This window comes from Homo sapiens, chromosome 3 (genome assembly GCF_000001405.40).
Source record: "Homo sapiens chromosome 3, GRCh38.p14 Primary Assembly".
NCBI classification, from domain to species: Eukaryota; Metazoa; Chordata; class Mammalia; order Primates; family Hominidae; genus Homo; species Homo sapiens.
The window spans coordinates 75,948,834-75,969,388 of record NC_000003.12 but is presented as its reverse complement, the minus strand read 5'-3'; the positions used below and the strand labels follow the sequence as shown (position 1 = coordinate 75,969,388).

Below are 20,555 nucleotides of genomic sequence, written 5' to 3'. Positions count from 1 at the left end.
ATCTGTATTCCCGTGTTTATTGCAGTATAGAGCTAGTGTATGACTCCACAATCCCCCTGCTGGGTATATACCCAAAGGAACTGAAATCAGTATACGAAAGATATATCTGTATTCCCATGTTTATTGCAGTATAGTTCTCAATAGCCAAGCTATGAAAACAATTGGATAAAGAAACTATGATGTATAGTTATAATATATTATATATCATATTATAATCTTATAAACTCTGTAATAATAATATAAATATTATATATATAGTATTCAGTCTTAAAAAAAAGATTAAAATTGCCATTTTTGATGATATGGATGAACCTGGATGGCATTATGCTAAGTGAAATAAACCAGACATGGAAAGAAAAATACTTCATGATCTCGCTTGTATGTGCTATCTAAAAACAAGCCAAGTATATAGAAACAGTAGAATGGTGGCTATTCTATGTGCTATCTATGTACTATCTAAAACAAGCCAAGTATATAGAAACAGTAGAATGGTGGCTATTCTATGTGCTATCTATGTGCTATCTAAAAACAAGCCAAGTATATAGAAACAGTAGAATGGTGGCTATTCTATGTGCTATCTATGTACTATCTAAAACAAGCCAAGTATATAGAAACAGTAGAATGGTGGCCATCAGGGATAAGGATTAAGAGGAAATGAAAAAAAGCAGATCAAAGGGTACAAACTGGCAGTCATGTAGGATGAGTAAGTTGTATCTAAAGTATAGTATGTTACCAATAGTTAATAATATTGTATTCTGTACTGAAAATTTTCTAAAAGTATATTTTTTAGGTGCTCTTGCCAATCACATAAAAATATAACTATGGACGGTGATGGATATGTTAATTGGCTTGATTGTAGTAATAATTTCATGGCATATGTGTATGCCTTAAATATGTACCATGAAAATAAGTAAATAAACTAAAATGTAGGTTATCAAAACTTAACAATTTATACATTAAAAATTTCAAAACTTGAAAAAATAATCCAATGGGAGAGATTTACAATTACTTCAATACTATCAGAGCAGCAATGATGGAAGATAAGCAGAGGAAGGAGACAACCTGATAAATGTAGACTCACCAGCAAAGCCTGAGGGGACATGATAAATGTAGACTCGCCAGCAAAGCCTGAGGGGACAGTCATAATATCCATAGTGTTGACAGCCAAACCATCAAAAACTTTGGTGTAAATATATTATTTTTGCAACATATGAAATACAAACAGAACAGCAAATCTTGATTCAGGCACCTATTGTCCTAATTAACTGCCTCTCTGATCATGTGTGCATGTGTCACCTTGATCGCAACCATTTTCGAAAATAACGTAACAAAAACAAACTATTGTAAATTTAAAAAATGAATTAGCATGTGAAGTTATTTTTCAAGATTATACTTCTCCTGTGGCCTTTAAATCTTCTTAAAATTGTTCACTCTGTAATTGAGCATTTGCTGTATGCCAGGAAAACTTCTGGACACTGAAGATACTTACAGTCAATATTACTTCAAGGCAGTTACGGCATCCTAGTTACTGTTTTTAGTAACATAATATCTGCTTCCAAATACTCTTAGAAATGGGCAACTTGATAAGGTGATTCCTGAAAATCTCTGCCATCTTGATTGTGTAACTGTGTTTATTTAAAGAGGCTAAAAATAAGGTTGGTTTTTAATGCATGGTAACTATGCATTAAAAACAAAATTATATACGAAATTATAATGAAAAATGCAAGATTCCTCCATGCCTTCTAACAGTATTATTTCTACTTGGGTACTTTTTGCCATCAGAACAAATTATTAGGATAAATAAATGTGTAAGGGCCATACATACCTACTAAATCTGAGTGCCATGAATTTGTTTGTAATTTTATATGTTATCTTAATTATTGTAGTTATTGTAGTATGTGGTTATACCCCTTTTTGCATTAATATATAGTAATCCTAGGGACACCTAGAATTATTTTAAAAGTTGAGTCAGTTGTCTCCAGTTATAGAAAGTTGACTTATACACTTTTAGTAGTGAAGTCAATATATTTGAACTGAGTTCACTTCTGAACAAAGGAAAACTCTGCAAGTAACTGAAATCTTCTCAAGATTGGCATATAGACAATTCTAAAAAAAGTCCTGGGATATGAACTATCTCAAATTGGCAGTATATACTGGCATGTGCCTCATCCTGCTGACAGTCATTTCAGCTTGAGATACTTACAAAAAAGAGAAAAAAAGATAGCTTAATAGTTCCAAGTTTAAATAGTTATATTGGTGTACTCCTTAAAAGAAAAATCAGCACATTATCTTGGAGTAAAAATTTTACTTATGATTTCTTCACTTTTCTCCCATCAACTCAACAGCCAGAAAATAAAACATATTAATAAATACACATGCACACACACACACATTGTGGAAATCAAAGACCTGAGTCTATGTGTAGCAGTGTGTTGATAAACTATCTGTAGAGACCGAAGGTCAAATTAATTGTATATGTGAAAATTATATAATTCTAGAGACTCAAGTAGATATACAGATAAAAGTTACTACATAAGAAAATAGAGATTTCTCTATTTTTCCACAACAGAAATTATAGAGTGGAATAGTGATTGTAAATATAGCTTCTGTTATCATTTGGGGGAATAGAAAAGTGAGGGCAACAGAGATCAGAATATAGGCACTAATACTTGAATGCCTGTTATGTGTAGCTATTGTGCTTTGACAATTTTACAAATTGTCTTATTTAACCAACACACAACATTATGAGATTGATGTTTCTATGACTATTTTTCTGTGTGAGAAAACCCAGGTTCTGACTTGACGTCACTCATGCCATATTGGGTGGCTGAGGCAGGATTCAAATGCAAGCATGGCAGCACCACAGTCTGTATTTTATTAATCATACAACCACTATATCCAACTAATTATAAAGTCTGTATGGAAGCCCAGAAAAATAGGCCAGCATTAAATTGATAAAAGCATTAAAGAGAAAACTGTTGATCTAAAAACATTTAGTTTTACAACTTTTAATTTACCATAATTGTGGTTGCTACTGTGACTATTGTATAGGGAAACCATGCACAAATTAATTCATGACACATTCATGTTCTTTTTGCATATGTCTCTTTAAAAAAAAACGTTATTTAGGCAAAGTGCTAAAGAGAAGTTATTTCACCTTGCTGACATTGTGTCTTACAGTTTTACCCAACCAATTTGAGTCATTACTTCTTTATCTTAACAGGATTACTTAATTGCCTAGTCATGGAATGAATGATTTGGCTACTTCTATAGACGTATTAATAAAGACTTATTTGTATAATAGTCAAGTTAAGATGAACATGCTTGTGACCTCTCGCAGAAATAATGAAGATTCTGCAATTTAAAGAGCAATAAACTGTAAAGATGTAATTACCAACTCTTCATTATCTTACAGAATTTCAAGATAAACTCACTTTATTTCAATGTCAAAAGACAGCATTAAAGTCCTTTTCAAAATACCATTTAATTGGATAGATTAAGATACTTTAATATATTAATTTCTTTCCTTGTTACTGTATATTTCATGATAAGAATGCAGGGATATATATTAGAGTTCTGGGAAATTGAAACTGGTGTAACTTGCCAGTTAATTCTAAAATCTATTAATCATGTGCTTTGGTCATCTTTCTTCTTTGGTAAAATATGGATGTTCGAAGATATTTTCATGTTGTCTAAAGCATCTGCATCTCATATACAAATATACAATATATATAAAATATTAACAGAATTATACCAAATATATACAAAATAAAAATATACAAAATATTAATTTAGCAGAAAAAACTGTTGCATGAAGATAAAGTACAGGATGATTAGCTTAGTTTGGAATGACCAAGAGACTCACAAACAAGATGGGTATGCACAATTACACTAATCACAAAGGACAAAGATCCCTGCGCACGTGTACATCACACATATCTGAACAGCTCATATACAATAGTGATTGCACATGTAACAATTCAATGAATGGTAACTATAGAACAAGACAAATACATCCATTCGTAAAGAAACAGTGATCAGTCACTAAAGTGCGGGGAAAATAGCCAACCTACATAAACTTGTAGCAGTAGCCTCTTCATATCCATATCTGCAACACAGAGTTAGAAATGTTTGGGTTTAAACAGTAGTGAAAATATGACTACATTTCAGAAAGGTATGACCTTAACGGTATGGAGTTTGAATTTTAGAAAAATATATTTCTAACTAGGTTAAAGCTTGGGTGAAAATTTCAATTGCTTAAGATAAGCAAGAAGTAGGGAGTGCTGATGAGGTAAGTGTAGATGAAAAATAAATTAGCAGGCTAGTCCAAATGTAGTGGTGTTCCAAACTAATTAATCACAACCAGTTACAGATTTCTTGTTTTCTTTTCCACTCACACTTAGCCTTAAAAATAAACAGAAAAAATAAATAAATAAATAAATTGACAGTTGGATAATAGTACAACCACTATTCTGGGAAACATATAATGGGAATACTTAGGAATATTTGTCATGAAAAATTCATGCATAAATGGTGGCAAAATATAAACTTTGAGATCATGTGTACAATATAAATAAATGTAACAACATGCAACAAAATGGTGCTTTCTGTATATTTCATGATAAGAATGCAGGGATATATATTAGAGTTCTGGGAAATTGAAACTCGTGTAACTTACCAGTTAATTATCAAATCTATTAAATCATGTGCTTTGGTTATCTTTCTTCCTTGGTAAAATAGGGATGTTCAAAGATATTTTCATGTTGTCTAAAGCATCTGCATCTCATATACAAATATACAAAATATATAAAATATTAACAGAATTATACCAAATATATACAAAATAAAAATATACAAAATATTAATTTAGCAGAAAAAAACTTGCATGAAGATAAAGTGCAGGATTGTATTTTATCTTACGGATTTTTTGTGAACCATAGTCAGAAAAATCAGGGGATCAAAAATAATAAAACAAAATACACCCATTGCCTTAAGGAAATAGGTAAATGAGATAATTATATTTTTAAAGGAACTATATAAAAGCTTTACGTAAAAACCACAACCATATTTCTTGTTCCTGCACATTCCAATCAATTCATTAGATTTTTTTTACACATTCTGCAAAAATATTCTAATGCAGGCAGAGAATTTGAAATGTAAAAAATTATCATACTGTCTCCTATATTTAGAGCTCAGCTACATCTCTTATACGTTAAAATGTTACTTCTGTTTGACACACACTCTTACACCTACTGAGGAAAAAAATTGCTTCCTATTAACAAAGTGAATTATCTCTTCTGAGTAACATGATTAACCTGGTCAATGGTTACTTACCATGTGTTAGTTATGGGCTGAACGCTGCTCCCCTCTCCCCAAATTCATACGGTGAAATTCTAAAGCCTAGTATTTCTGAAAGTAACCATATTCGGATGATTTAAATAAGAATTCAGTTAAAATGAGGCCCTCGGGGTGGGTCCTAATCCGATAAAAATGATGTCCATATAAAATAAAATTTGGAAAGGGGTAAAAATCAGCTACGTGTATGCACAGAAGTACAACTGCGTGAAGACAGAGCTGTGAGAAGGCAACCACCTACAAGCCAAGAAGGGAGGCCTAAAACAGATCCTTCCATCGTGGTCCTCAGAGGAGCACTTTGACCTTGGATTTACAGCCTCTAGAACTGTGAGAAAATAAATATCTGTTGTTTAAGCCACCCAGTCTATGTGTGTGTGCATGTGTTTAAGTGCCACCTTAGAAAACTAACATAATTGGTAAAGGACATAATGGACTTTTTAAAGCCAGCACCCAACTACGTTAGCATCATTTTCAGATGTTTGATTTAGTTCGTTTATTTTATGTTATCAAGTATTATAATGACAATTTTAAAAAAACAGTTTCATGAGGTGGTTCACACTTTTAATCCCAGAACTTTGGGAGGCAAAGGTGGGAGGATCACTTGAGGCTGGAAGTTCAAGACCAGCCAGAGCAACATAATGAAAGCTAATGTCTACACATTTTTTTCTTTAATAAAAAATAAAGCTGGGTGTGGTGGCACACACCTGTAGTTCTAGCTACTTGGGAGCTGAGTTGGGAGGACTGCTTGAGCCCAGGAGATCAAGACTACAGTGAGCCATAATTGCACCACTGCACTCCACCCGGGGTGACAGAGTGAGACCCTGTCTGTAAATAAATAAATAAATAAATAAAAATAGATAAAAACAATTTCAAAACTTAAGACTAAAAGAAACTCAGAAAACTGTCAATTATATTTTGCTCTGATTTTTCTCTTTTATATAGTATGATGAAATGTTACATCAACCTGCCATTTTTAAAAGTAAAAATCAGATGGATTTAGCTGGGCACAATACCAACTGTATTGAGAATTTCTAATGTCACTCAGGTGAAAGACCTGAAGGAAAGGAGACAGATTTAGAAGGAATGATCGTTAATGAGATCAGTCATTCAAATAATCTACCTACTGGTAAAGTTAGACAAACAAACGGCAACAACAACAACAAAACCCTACCCATCATCTGTAGAGAAAAATCATAGTCTCCCACTTGAAATAACACATCTGTCTGGCAGCTTAAATAAAAGCACACGTATTTTCACACAGCACGAAAGAATTATTTTTATATTTGGAAAACAATTGCTACAGAATTATGAAAAGAAAAAAATACAGACTGTAGAGAACAAAATAAGACAAGCTTCCATCAAGAAGGAAACATAAAATATACTAACTTGAAATAACAGATATACACAATATTTGGAGTCCAAGCTTTTAGTGTTGACGCCAGCCCAGTTATATCGGAGGCAAAGATAACTTGAAATAACAGATATACACAATATTTGGAGTTCAAGCTTTTTAGTGTTGACTTCAGCCCAGTTATATCGGAGGCAAAGAAACAAAGATTTGCAAAGGATTCATGAATTATCCAAAGTTAAACACGTTATATCTAACCAAGCCAGACCTAGAACACATTATTGGTCATATTCTTTCCATTGACTATGTCTAATTCCTCTTAAAGTTTTTCCCCTTTACATATAAATCCTATGCACATTACAACTTTGGTGACATAAACAGAAAGAAATATTCTTTCTTTCAGCACTTTGGATGTGCTATCCCATTGTGTTCTGACTATCATTGTTTCTGATGAAAAGTCAGATGTTAATCATAAAGTCGTTTCCTTCTATGGATGAGTTATTTTTCTTTTGCTTTCAAGATTAACTCCCTTCACATTTTGTTTAATCCAGAATTATTAGAAACTTCTCTAATTTTGAGACTCAAAGTCACTCATCAGATCACCACAAAATTTCAAAATATACATTCTTAGTGCTTGTAAAATATCAATATACTACTTTAATGTCTTCTTTTATTAATACAAGGTCATTGTTTGGAATATTTGGGAAAGGAATATAAGTCAGAGCAAGAGCATCCTAGATTAATGATTGCTACATATTAATCAATTGATTAATGTTTTTGTGACAATGAAAGAATAAATTACTTCTAGTATTTTTGCTGACATATTTCTTTCCCTACTTTCAAGATTCACACAGAAATATACCTTAAATAATATAGTTTGATTCTCTTGAAAAAAATTTTCTATCTTTCTCCTCAATCTTTCTCAATATTTTAATACAATATTTTTTGTTTCTATATCCATCAAAAAGTTTCAGTTTGATGAGATAGCATAAAAAAATCTATTTAGAGGATCAGTTTGGAAGTCAGATGTGCAAAATGTTTCTTATCTGCTCTGTTCTCTTTTCATTACCTTCTCCCTGACCCAGCCCCAAACATTATAAAGAATGCTACACCCTTTATAAAGAAGTTTACCAGAATCGATATTAAAATTGAGTGAGCTATTTATTACTTAGAAGTAATTCTCAAACTTTAACCTGTAATCTCATGTATTTACAGTGGAGCATAGTATTTAGAAGAAACCGGACTCAATTATAGGTCAATTACTCCTTAGCAATGTATCAGAGTTCAGCAAGTTACTCAACCTCTGCTAATAACAATCTTTTAATCTGTAAAAATAAATATAAATATATCCATGAAATATTCTTAAGGTTAAATAACATACAAAAGTAAATCACTTAGTGTAATGTTAAATATATAATATGTTCTAGCTTGAATTACTACTACTAATGAAAAACTACATTTGAAATTTTTGAAGCTGAGATCAATAAAAAAAAGTGCCATTCTCCAACTTTTTCTAGGTAGTTTGCTAGAAATAAGAAAGCAAAATAGACTAGGGCCCAGTTTCTGGATTTAAGGATCAGAAATCATCTGCTGTGTTTATTATGAACCCTTTATATCCCTTCAGTTCTTCCTGTAAATTTTTACAAATAACTTACTGAATAAAGAGTTAAAACACCTCAAATTAACAAAATCTTGTCTACTATGTCTCCATTATTTCAAAAAAGAAAAGAATAATAATTTTGTCAATGATAGTTAAGTATATGTTAGTCACTAACACTATGGCAGGTACCTTCATATTCATATTTCTAATATTTCCAATATCTTCATATTTATATTTCTAATTCATATTTGATCCCAACTCTGTAATTTAGGAAGTTCTCTTTTTTTCTTTTAGAAATTAAGGCATAAAGTGTCAGGTGACTTGCACAAGATTGCACCACTAGTAAATTTAAAAATATAGTTTACTTGCCTACTGTCTTAGTGATATAGTTTACTTGCCTACTGTTTTAGTGAGTTATTGATCATGCACAATTCTTTTTGAAAACAGAAATTCATTTAGCATACCACATTTCAAGATCCATTGGTAAAAGCCACCTTATTAGCTTAATCAACAAAAATGTCGAGAAAATTTGAGCTTTTATTAACCGATAAAATATTAGAAGTTATATATATAATGAAACCACCCCTATAATCTTTATAAAATTATTTGGGAAAGGAGGGAGGGGATGAAATAAAAACAAGCTTCCAGCACATCCAGCCTTAAACATTATGTTAACTTGCTGTCTGTCCTGCTTCCTCATAATTGTTCACTAGGTATGGCCCCACAATCATTTATATCCTGTCACAAGATTATAGTTAAACTTAACTACTCATAGATAACAACTTGAGCATTGTGAAATGTTAAGTTTTCTCTTTGAGGTATTCTTTCAGATCCTACATACCAGTGAAACTACTGACATCAGCTGCTCTGAAGGACTCCAGGAGAAGCTGACTCACTAAAGGGCGAAGTTTCTACATCCTGGTGATTTAATCCCCCTCACCCAAACCAGTCAGTGACCCCAATTTTCCAGCCCCTGGCCCTCTACAATCCCCTCACCCCAGCAAAGTACTCTATGGAAAGACAGATTTGAGGGTGCTCGCATCTCCTCACTCAGCTGCCCTGCAATCATTAAACTCTTTCTCTACTGCAAACTCTGTTTATCAATATATCAGACTGTGACTGCACAGCAGGCATACAAACACGTGAGTCCTGTATCATTTATAAATATTTAACTTTTATATATATTTAACTGCTATACACATAATTGACCATTTTGTATATTAATATTAGTAGGTAATAATAATATTTATATTTCCTCCATAGGTAGCTTATGGAGCATTTCTGCCTGGTAAATTTTATTTTTTAACGACAAAGACTAAAGTAAGTAACTTTAAAATATTATTGAGAATTTTTTTCTATTGATGGGACATTGAATTTGTAGGTAGAAATAAAAACCTAGCTTTCTACTAAACTTAATTTTATATTTAAACACAATTCAAAATGTAAATAGAAAATTAAGAATTTCCAAAATTAAACTTAGTTTTAGAAACTCACATAAGCAAGTGTAATACTGAAGAGCAAAGAAACTGTGGTCTACAAACAAAAATTATAAGTAATTCATGAAATCTAAGGGCTAATTTGTGAAGTAAATTTGGAAGATGTTTTACGCTGTAGCTCCATCCTAGAGACCAAGAGTACTGCACTAGGAAAACCTGCTCAACCCTTTTTTAACCAGAAATTCTTTCTTTCTCCAGAAATCCTTTTCAGGTAATGCCTAATAATATCTCATTGAACATGTATTTGAAATTATAGTTTAATTTATAATTAAATAATTCAGTGAAAATATATTAATTGTAAAGATAAATTTTAACACGTATGGGAATACTAGACTTACAGTGGTCATCAACCCAAAATGCTACAAAATTACACAGAATGGTTAGTTTGGCAAAAATAAATATCACCACTACCACCAAAAACCTAGGTTTCAAAAAGAAATAAAAGAAGCATTCCAAAATGTTAAAAATTTTTCATTTGTCTACTTTCTAAATGCTCTTTAAAATACTTATGTCATCATAATTTTGAAGTTTAAAAGTAAAGAAATAGTTCTCCTAGTTAATATACTGCCTTAAAGTTGCTCTGACTCACAAACAGAACAAAGCAAAGCATGGCTTGACAGCCGTCAAATTACAGGAAATTGAAGCTAAATGAAATTGGATACCTCACCTCATCTATACTCCTTACTTTATAAGAGGGAAAAGCATCACAAAATGTTGAGGCCATTTAACTCAAAGTTACCAGGTGGGTTAGAGATAATTTGAGAACACTGCTTTTTTTATCTTTGTTACTATTCTCTCATGAAGTTTTGCCTGAAAACAGGTCTACTAAAGATATAAGAATTTGTAATGAAGATGAACATATATCATTGCCTTTCTGCTTAGGATTGTTCAATATTTTCCCATTGATAATAATAAAATCCTACCTACTTTTACCTCCTCTCCCACCACTTCCTTGCTCTCTATATCCTAGAACTTCATTCTTGACTCCAAAGCTGCCCCCTCCTGCATCAGTTTCTTTTGCTTGAAATCCTCAGCCCTTCATAAATTTCATCCAGCAAACTCCTATTTATCCTTTAACTCCCTATTATTTTTTCTTACAGTGCCACATTTTCCTTCATTAGCACATATCCAATTTAAAGTTGTATAGTTTGAGTTTTTGCTTGACTTTCTGTTTCTCCACTAAAGCATAAGCTCCACAAAAGCAAGTATCATGTCTGATTTAACAGGGTATATTCTATTCCTATAAGAGTGCTGCCACGTAAGTGTCAATGAATGTTTGTGAAATAAATGAAAAACTAAAGGAGTGATTGAACAAATAAAAATAAGTTATCTGAGCATATTGTATGTGTGAATAAGATCTTGAGTTTGGCCAAGGCAGTTAATCACATATTAACAACTCATTAGGTTTATAGCAATGAGGTACAAAATTGGTTCAGCACCAAATTCTAAATTCTAAGATGAAACAAGGTTTATGTTCAGAAAGATAGTGTCACTTTTTCTAATATCAGTTGCCCTCCAACTATCAGCATGACACATGCAAACCATTTATACGTGTTTTTCTGTTTTTTTGTATTGAAGATTCCACATGAAGGAAAATTATTATATTTCTAACAGGAAGTCCTCTTCTAAATGACAACAAATCTGAGGGTGAACACATCAGTTAAAAAGAGAGAGATTAAAAAGTTAAGATGAGATTCTGTTTGTACAGTATATAACTGAACAAAGCTGTATCTAGCAATTTGACAAGAAAGGTAAAACAGAATATTAACCTCAGCACACAAGTTCAGCTAATGATCTGGAATGGGGAGTTGTGTGTAGAGAGGAGGACAAAGACAAAAGACAACCATTTATCCCAAGTTACTTTCCAAAGATGAAAAAAAAAAACCCTCTTAGTAATGTTTTTCAAAATCTAACTACTTTCAAGAACGCATCAATAACATGTAGAGAGATAACAATCAAGTTGGACATTAACTTAAAAGTCAGATGACTTTTTAAGCATAAGTAACTTAGAACTGTAAAGTAAAAAACACTAAATGTCATTGACTTTAAAGTGGATACTGAAGTAAAAAAAAAAAACCTTCTATTAAAAACTAAACTATATGCGGGAACTTATGTAGAAAGCTTAGCATAAATATTTATACAAAATTGCCCTACCATATTTTATTAAAATATTACATTAAAAATTAAGAGAAAATCATTTTAAAAATGAGTTATATTTTAGGCCTTTTTTTCTCAAAATGAGTTTCATAAATTGATATGGTTATTAGCACAGGAATTTCAATAATAGGAACAAAGAAACCAAATGAAAACCTAATGTGTGTATGTGTGTGTGTGTGTGTGTTTTGTGTGTGTGTGCGTGTGTGTTTTGTGTGTGTGTGCGTGTATACAGTTACCTGGAATTCCAACTTCAATATGTTTAAAAATATTTCAGTAAAAAACATTAGATATATTTTAAGGCAGTTTGTAAGATATTTATTAGGTTTATTTGTAGGCCTTGCACACTAAGTTAAGCAACACTATCATAAAATAAATTAATAATGAAACAGAAACTCAAAGCTTCATATTATAATTAAATAAACTCTAAAGTATCTAATAACTTCAACTGTATGCCCTAAAATAACATCAGGGCTACAACGTGTATCAACTTGCCCACAGAAAAAGCAACAATGAAAGAAAGAAAGAGATATCTATTTTGTCATAAAAGATCAACACACTTTGTCCAACTTTTTGGTCCAACTGCTATAAAGTGGGCCAATGCGAATGGCAAATAAAAGAGCTGCCATTCAACATGCATTCTAGTAGTGAATATTAACTGACCACTACGTGAAGGCAGTGTTCATTGAACAAATAAAAGAACCCTTGCCTGCATGACACTTACATTTTGGTCACTTTACATTTTACTGGAGGAAATGTGAAGAATACAATACCAGCAATATTAACAACAACATTATCCCACTAGAAGGGCTCCAGTGATTGATATTTCCAGGCTCATCTCAGTGACCCTATATGAGGGTCACTATATTCCAAGGACCCTATATTCCAAGGAACATGGCAATGGATTTTTACATTTCCAAATTAAAAGGTAATGGTAAAGTAATGATAGTCAACATAAAAAATGACTCACTGGAAACCAAAGCAACTCATTTCAAATGGCTTTGGAATGCCATCAGGACAGCACCTTTTTATTTGTAATGCATAAGTCTCACAATCCAGAGAGCAGGTCTTGTGAATTTTGACGAGAGGTAAGGCATTACAGAAAGACCCAAAAGTCACGCTCCAGATCCCAGCAATATAGCTACTAGGACGGACACAGAGTACATAGTTGTACTACTGAGCACAGTGATTTAGAGATTGGAAGCCATAGTTCTGTGAGATCAGGCATCATTTCAAGACAAAAATTACATTTTTAATAAATGCAAACTTTGGCTCAGCTAAACAAGGTACCTTGGGCTACATTCTTTCCTGCAGATAGATAAATTTGACATAATTCACCCTTGTGCAGTCTAAACATATCATGTGCCAACAGTGATGTAAAGCACTGAATATGTGAGATAAAGTATGATGAATTCTATTGACAAATACAGGCAATGGCTTCCATTTAATTGAGAAGAAACCATATACCTAGCACAAGTCTTTTTCTGTGCATTAACTTTTTGTAATACAACTATATGAAGTTATAGCCTATTTTATATATAAATAAAAGCATTTCCAAAGGTTAAGAAAGGGCACAGTGAGAGTGAGAAGCACAGTCTGGGTGGGCAGGACAATCTAGTTGTCTATCTGTGCTTTAAACTCCTATAAACATATCTCCCACACCACGACATCTAACTCAGAGTCACATTTGAATTGCCAGCAAATGGAAGCCTCATAAACCCAAAATGTGAATGGCAATGAAGTGTATAGAGCACACTTTGAGTGCACAGAGTATCTTTGCAAACATTATCTTTTTTTTTATTATTATACTTTAAGTTTTAGGGTACATGTGCACAACGTGGAGGTTTGTTACATATGTATACATGTGCCATGTTGGTGTGCTGCACCCATTAACTCGTCATTTACATTAGGTATATCTCCTAATGCCATCCCTCCCCTCCCCCCTAAACATTATCTTTTAAGACTTTCACAATCACGTCACGAGATTATTCCCACATCAAAAAGTAGGAAAGGAAAGCCTGGAAAGAAGTTATATCGACATTAAACTGCTCTCAAACCCAAGTGTACAAATGATTTTTCTTGCAAAGAAATTTATATTCTATGCAAAGTTCTATTTCAAAATGAATTCTGGAATTCAACTAAACACTCATCTTGAAAACACGAGCTTAAGTGGAAATTCCTCACTGGTATCCAAGCAAATAAATTAAATAATGATATTAAACCTACATCTAATCTCTCATTATACATATTGAAAGTTTGCTATATAGCTACCACTAAGTTATACATTTCCAGTGACACAAACCATAAAATGAATTTGTTTCTATTGGTACTAGCAAAACAAACAAACAAACAAACTACATAGATGGCAAAAAGGTCAATCTACTAATTTATCTTCTAATAACTTTCCACCCAGGCGCATTCGTCCCTCTCATTAGACGCTTGTTCTATGCTTCTTTAATTTTTTGACATTCTAATTGCCTCACCTGAACCAAAAAAAGAATGTGGATCTGGGATCAATACCTTTTGAAAAGTCATGTATTTCATTATATTATTTTTTCATATATCTACATTATTGCATAGAATACCTGATTGGTCTTATGCTAAGTTTTTCATGTAACATTACCTCTGCAAGATGTTAATAAGTATCCTTCCAAAAATGTTCGAAAAATCTTGGGTAAAACATATTAAGTAAGTTCCTGTTTCATAGTTTTCCAAGAGTTTTACTATCCTTGGCAAATGATGAAATTCAAAGCAGAGGTACAGTACACAACTTTTGTAAAACTTACCTATTTTTCTTATAAGACTGTGGCTTTGTTTCGTTTTGTTTTGAACTTCTTTTCTGTGATGTGATGTAAGACTGTGTTTTGAGTTAGGGGTGGGGACATAACGTTAACAGAGGTTTAGGAACTACTTTGCTAAAGCAAGTTTGAGGGGAAAATGGGGAAACTAATACAAGACTTTCCTTGAAGCAGTAGGAGTTGAAGGGGTAGGTGGTTTTTGGAGAAAGAGGAGACCCATTCACCGCACAGGCTTCTTTATGTTTCTGTTCTGTGTGACACATAATGAAGATACAGACATTCACTTCCTCTATTTCCCACCCTTGGCTGGAGGTAACCCAAAGGGACCTGATAAAGACACAGCCTTATAGCTGTATCAAGTGTCCTTGAGAGTGGTAGGACTGGAGACGCCTGAGGAATAAAAAAATATACATGCATTAAATGGAACAAATACAGAGAAGAAGAAAACTCAGACATGGTAAATTAATTTTGTACCTTTCCTTACAACCTAGCATATCACAGGGTACATGATATCCTTTTGACCTGCTTCCTTTATGCTGACTGCATGAACAGGGAAGGGGGTTGGGGTACACATGGGAGATAATTGTATTTATTATGTACCTGGTATTAATACATCTATAGAGACAATTGGAATGACCATACTGGAGAAACAGCAAGGGAAGAACTGAAAAAGCTAAAATAAACACTTGGTTCTATAAAAAATACTACAAAAAGATTTCTCATGTCTGACAAATTACATTTTAGTCTAATAGCAGTAAGTAGACCAAAACTAAGGTGATTTGATAAATATCATAAGGTATTTATTGTGAAATTGATGTCTATATGTATTGCTTGTAAAGCTCAGTAATCTGTTCTTGAATTGAGAAATTACTGAGACAACATCAAAAGCTGTCATTTTTGTTTCTATATTGTTGTTGCTATTGTTTGTGAGGTGAGAGCTTCTAAACTTTATGACTGTTTGAAAGGGGCCTATATACACCCTGCCTGAATATTAAGTCATGTGAAATGATAAAAAGCTTTCTGATTTATTGGGTTAGACAAAGAAAAAATTGAGAAATTGAGCATTATTAAAATTAAAGACTTTTGTTATTCAAACTGTGCTTAGAATGAAAAGAAAAGCCACAGGTTGGGAGAAAATCTTTTCAAAACACATGTCAGATAAATTAGTGGTATTTAAAGTATACAAAGAACTCGAAAATAAGAAAGAAAACAACTCATTTAAAAAATAGGCCAAAGGTCTAAATACAGCTGTCAAATATGGATATTGAAGTTACTAGTCATGTATCATTAGGGAACTGCAAGTCATAGCAACAGTGAGATATTATTACATGACTATTAAAATGGCCAATATCCAAAAGTCTGATAATACCAAATGTTGGCAAGTATGAGGAGAAACAGGAACTTTTATTGAGAATGCAGAATAGTACAGCTACTTTGGGAGTCAGTTTGGCAGTTTCTTACAAAACTAAACATACTCTTACCACACAACCCAGCAATTACATTCCCTGGTATTTACTTAAAGGATTTGAAAACTTACATGCACACAAAAACCTTCTTCCCATGAATGTTATAGGAGCCTTATTCATGATCACTAAAATCAAAATGTCCTTCAGGAAGTGAATGGAAAAATAAACTGTGTTATATCCAGGCAACGGAATATTATTCTGTCAAGCCACAGAAGACACACAGGAACCTTTAAATGCATATTGCCAAGTGAAAGAAGCCAGTCTGAAAAGTCTACATACCATGTGATTCTAACTACATGACCTTCTGGAAAAAGCAAAACCATGGAGACAGTAAAAAGATCAGTGGCTATTAGGGATTTGGAGGAGAGAGAGGAAGCGATGAATAGATGGAGCAAGGAAGAATTTTAGGAAAGTGAATCCACTATTCTGTATGACACTGTAGTGAGGATTATTTGTCATTACACATTTGACAAAACCTATAGAATGCATAAGACAAGGAGTAAACTCTAATATAAACTACAGACTTTAGTCAATAATAATGTACCAATATTGACTCATCAACTATAACAAATGTACCACACTATCGCAAGATGTTAAAAATCGGGGAAATTGGGGTAGAGGCTGAGGATGACATGTGAATGCTTATTCACTTCTTTCTGCAAACCTAAAATTGCTTTTAAAAAGTCAATTAATAAAAATTAAAACAAGGCAGGGTTTTCATGCAGTGGAAAAAACACACAATTTTAGTAAGTGACTGATAATTATGCTTATGCCACTTTGCTAGATTACATTTCATTAATAAATATAGTTTCATTCTTTATGTTATAAAGCAGAATAAAATCAGAAATCTAGAGAAATTGATTTTAATGATTAGAGTAAAAGCATTTTCACCTCCCAAGTCAGAATGAGCTCTTTAGAATCAGTCCATTTTATAGTTAAATCAATCATAGTTTGGTTTAAAAAAAATATTGAGAAGAACATTAACTTCACTGTTTCCACAAAACTCAATGTCATGACAGCATTGTGAGTCATTTCAATGTAGGATTAAAACCTATTGCTGGACCCAGTGGACTTACTGTGCTACATTCTGAAAATGTAAGACATTGAAGTCCAGTCTTTGTTGGATTTGCTGTCCTTGGCAGTTATCAAAAGGTCAATTTATCCTGCTTCTTTTTTCTCTTTTCCATATATCTTGCACTTCAGCTTAATATTAGTATTAAGCTAAATTTCTTATTTTATTTTGATTGATAAAGGAAAACAGAGATTGTTTCAATACAGTTGCTGAGAATAAGCAAAATGTACTTATAAAGTACACAAGGGAGCTATCAGATAAAAATTTGTTCAAAAAAAGATTTGGACATTTTTATTGCATGAATGTTCAAATGGAAAGGAAAACTTTCTGGATTTTTTTTTCCACCACACATGAGCAGCAGCACTAAGGTAGTGAATAATGCCCCTTCAATTAGTAGTTTTCATATATTTCTGATATCAGAAATGGATTGTTAGTAACTTGTTTTAAAAGCAGAGCATTTTCATGCATGGCATTCCCCTGAATTCCAAAGCCCAAACTTAACTTAGGCTAATTTCTGTCTGCTGGCAGTACCATTAATTTCTCATAAATAACATTTCATATATATATGGCATTCCGATGATGTAAAGGAGTTCACATATTATGGGCCTACAAGCCAAATTTAATCAATGGCTTGTTTCATATGGCTGAGAGCTAAAAATTGTTTTGGCATTTTTGAAGTGTTTAAAGAAGGAGAAGGAAGGGGAGAAGAAGAACGAGTAGATGAAGGAGAGACAGAGACTGCATATGGCCAGCAAAGCCTATAATATTTACTGTCCAGTTCTTTACAGAAAGACGTTTTCCAATCTCAAACAAAACACACACATTTTTGTTATGCCAAAAAAGGACTACAATAAGTCTTCACTGAACATCATTGATAGGTTCTTGAAAACTGGTAATAGGTATATAAATTTATGGTCACATGTGATGTTTTGATACACGCATACAGGGGGGATAAATTGGGGATGGTTAATTAGTGCCAAAATACAGTAAGTGAAACCCATTTTACCATAGGTTGACATAAAAAAGAGTTAACTTTCTATGGCTTTTGGTAACAAAAACATCAACGAACTTGTAAATAAAGATCAAAACAATTCTAACATTAAATGCTGAAATGAATTTGAGCTATTTATATATTTAAGATTAATAAAAACTAGTAAAATCATTATTTACCTACTGATTTCAGTTTAGGGTTGCAGTTGACCACAGCCTATCCTGTCAGCTCAGGACGCAATGTGGGAACCAGCCCTGGACAGGACGCCATAGCATTGCAGGTGCACTCACACATACCCACAGTTACTCAGACTGGAACCACATAGACATGTCAATCAACCTCACATGCACAGCCTTGGGAAGTGAGAGGAAACTGGAGCATCCAGAGAATATCCATGCAGACATGGGGAGAATACATAAGCTCTACACAGACAGTGAACCCCAACTGGAATCAATTTGTTTTTTCTCATCAACATTATAATGAAATGACATTGAATGAAATGTCATTATTCAAAGACCTGCTGTACTCAGTTCTAAACATTTCAATATTAAGAGATCTACACACATCCTCTTCTATATAATGGAGTGGGTCTCTTAACATTTCCTGGCAACATACTCTTCGCCTGCCTAGAAAACACTTTAGAATAGAACTGCATTATAATAAATTTTCATATTCTATTTATATCTTCATATTTCTCCCTCTACTTATTAAGCTATAATCTTGTATATGTAATCCTTCAGTTCCTTAACAAAGGTGAACATATGATCTCATGATGTGTGTTTTAATTTCTTAACTTTGTTGAGATTTGGGAATGTGAGGAGGATGGAAAGGAAAGAAAGGAACTCAGCAGCTATAAAAGAAATCTGACCTTTAATATTTTATTGAATTTGTTTCTTGTTTTATTTTTCCTTCCTTTGCACAAATGAGAGCTTCTAGTTTTACAAAGGGTACCACCAATTTTAGGATAAAAATTTGAATTTGTGGGATAACACAAGTTGGAGACACAATGATTTAGAGATTGCATATGAATTTTATCAAATAAATGGACGAAAGTAGGTGATATGCACACTCACACACACACACACACATGCATATGTAGTGATAAAACCATTGACACAGATTCCCAGATGGCACTTAATGTACTTTCAGTCTTAAATTCTTTCTCAAGGACAAGCCATTTGTTTGCAAATGATTTAGCATACAAAAATGATTAAACACGAGAAAAAATGCATTGCACATAAAGTTCAGATAACGAATTAAAGTCATACTAATATAACTACAATTTATAATGAATTCAAATAGCTTTCAGAAGGGTCATCTGTGGAATGTAGAGCAATCTGAATTTATTTTTCTGGTAACTTGTCACAGCAATGTTTTCTAGACTAGTGAGTGAGTGCTCATACAGCACCATGTGTGTTCAACAACACACAAAGTTGGATGACAAAATCTACTTTAGTGAGAAGGCAGCTATTTCCAGGGGCACCAATACTAATGTTAGTTTTGAGTTTTTGGTTTGCTTTTGTTTACAAGGCAATGTAATGTTTAAGGAAAAAAAAATCCTACCAGTCCATGTTGAGTGAACATTTCAATCCATGTAAAGGCAAAAGTCAGCTGCCACCATGCCATGCAAACCTTACAGTACATGACATGTGAAATCAGTAACCTCAAAAGGGACTTCTGAGAAGCTATGAGTAAAAGGCACACACAAAATTCCTCTGAGATAAATTCACAAATGAAATGGAAAAGGATATCTGTGTATATCCAAGAAGAATAGTAATTATTAGAAAACAAGAAAACTTCTAAATTGAAAGAATCCCTAAAGTAAAAGTAGACCAAAGAAAAAGAAATAAAGATGAGAAGTGAGATGAGGCAGAAATGGTGAGTGACAAGGAGACATATTGAGAAAAAAAGTAGCTAAAGATAGTGTGTTGTTATTTCAGCAAAATTAAGTATATCAATACTGAGAAATATGACTTGAAATAGATTCAGTACCTCAACAGAAACATAAACAAATAACATCTGGCTTTTTATTTTGATAACCAGTATTTTAAATACAAAAATCTAAAAATATGATCTTTGTGTAAGAGTTACACATTTATCATTCCAATCCTCAGGGTGCATTATTTCAAACTAAACAGTAATCATTTCAATAACAAAAATGCACTATAAATACCGTATGGAAATAAATGTCCTAACAGATGTTAACCAGACATTAGTCTTCACTGGTAAGGATTAGATTTGAAGGTGTTTGCAGATAATTAAAACTTGTTTTTAT

General features: G+C 32.8%; 1 protein-coding gene across 9 annotated transcripts in view, besides 1 other annotated feature; it reads right to left on the bottom strand.

Moving 5' to 3' along the window:
• The window catches only part of ROBO2 (roundabout guidance receptor 2), a 1,743,290-nt gene that overhangs the window by 1,680,576 nt on the left and 42,159 nt on the right, over positions 1 to 20,555 (bottom strand). The window lies entirely within an intron of this gene.
• Positions 8,796 to 9,995: an enhancer, noted in NCBI's record as "CDK7 strongly-dependent group 2 enhancer chr3:76008545-76009744 (GRCh37/hg19 assembly coordinates)". NCBI's record gives its function as "activates an origin of replication core promoter dependent on BRD2, BRD4, P300/CBP, MED14 and CDK7 cofactors, with strong dependence on CDK7, by STARR-seq in HCT116 cells {active_cell/tissue: HCT116}" and the evidence as "EXISTENCE:reporter gene assay evidence [ECO:0000049][PMID:35650434]".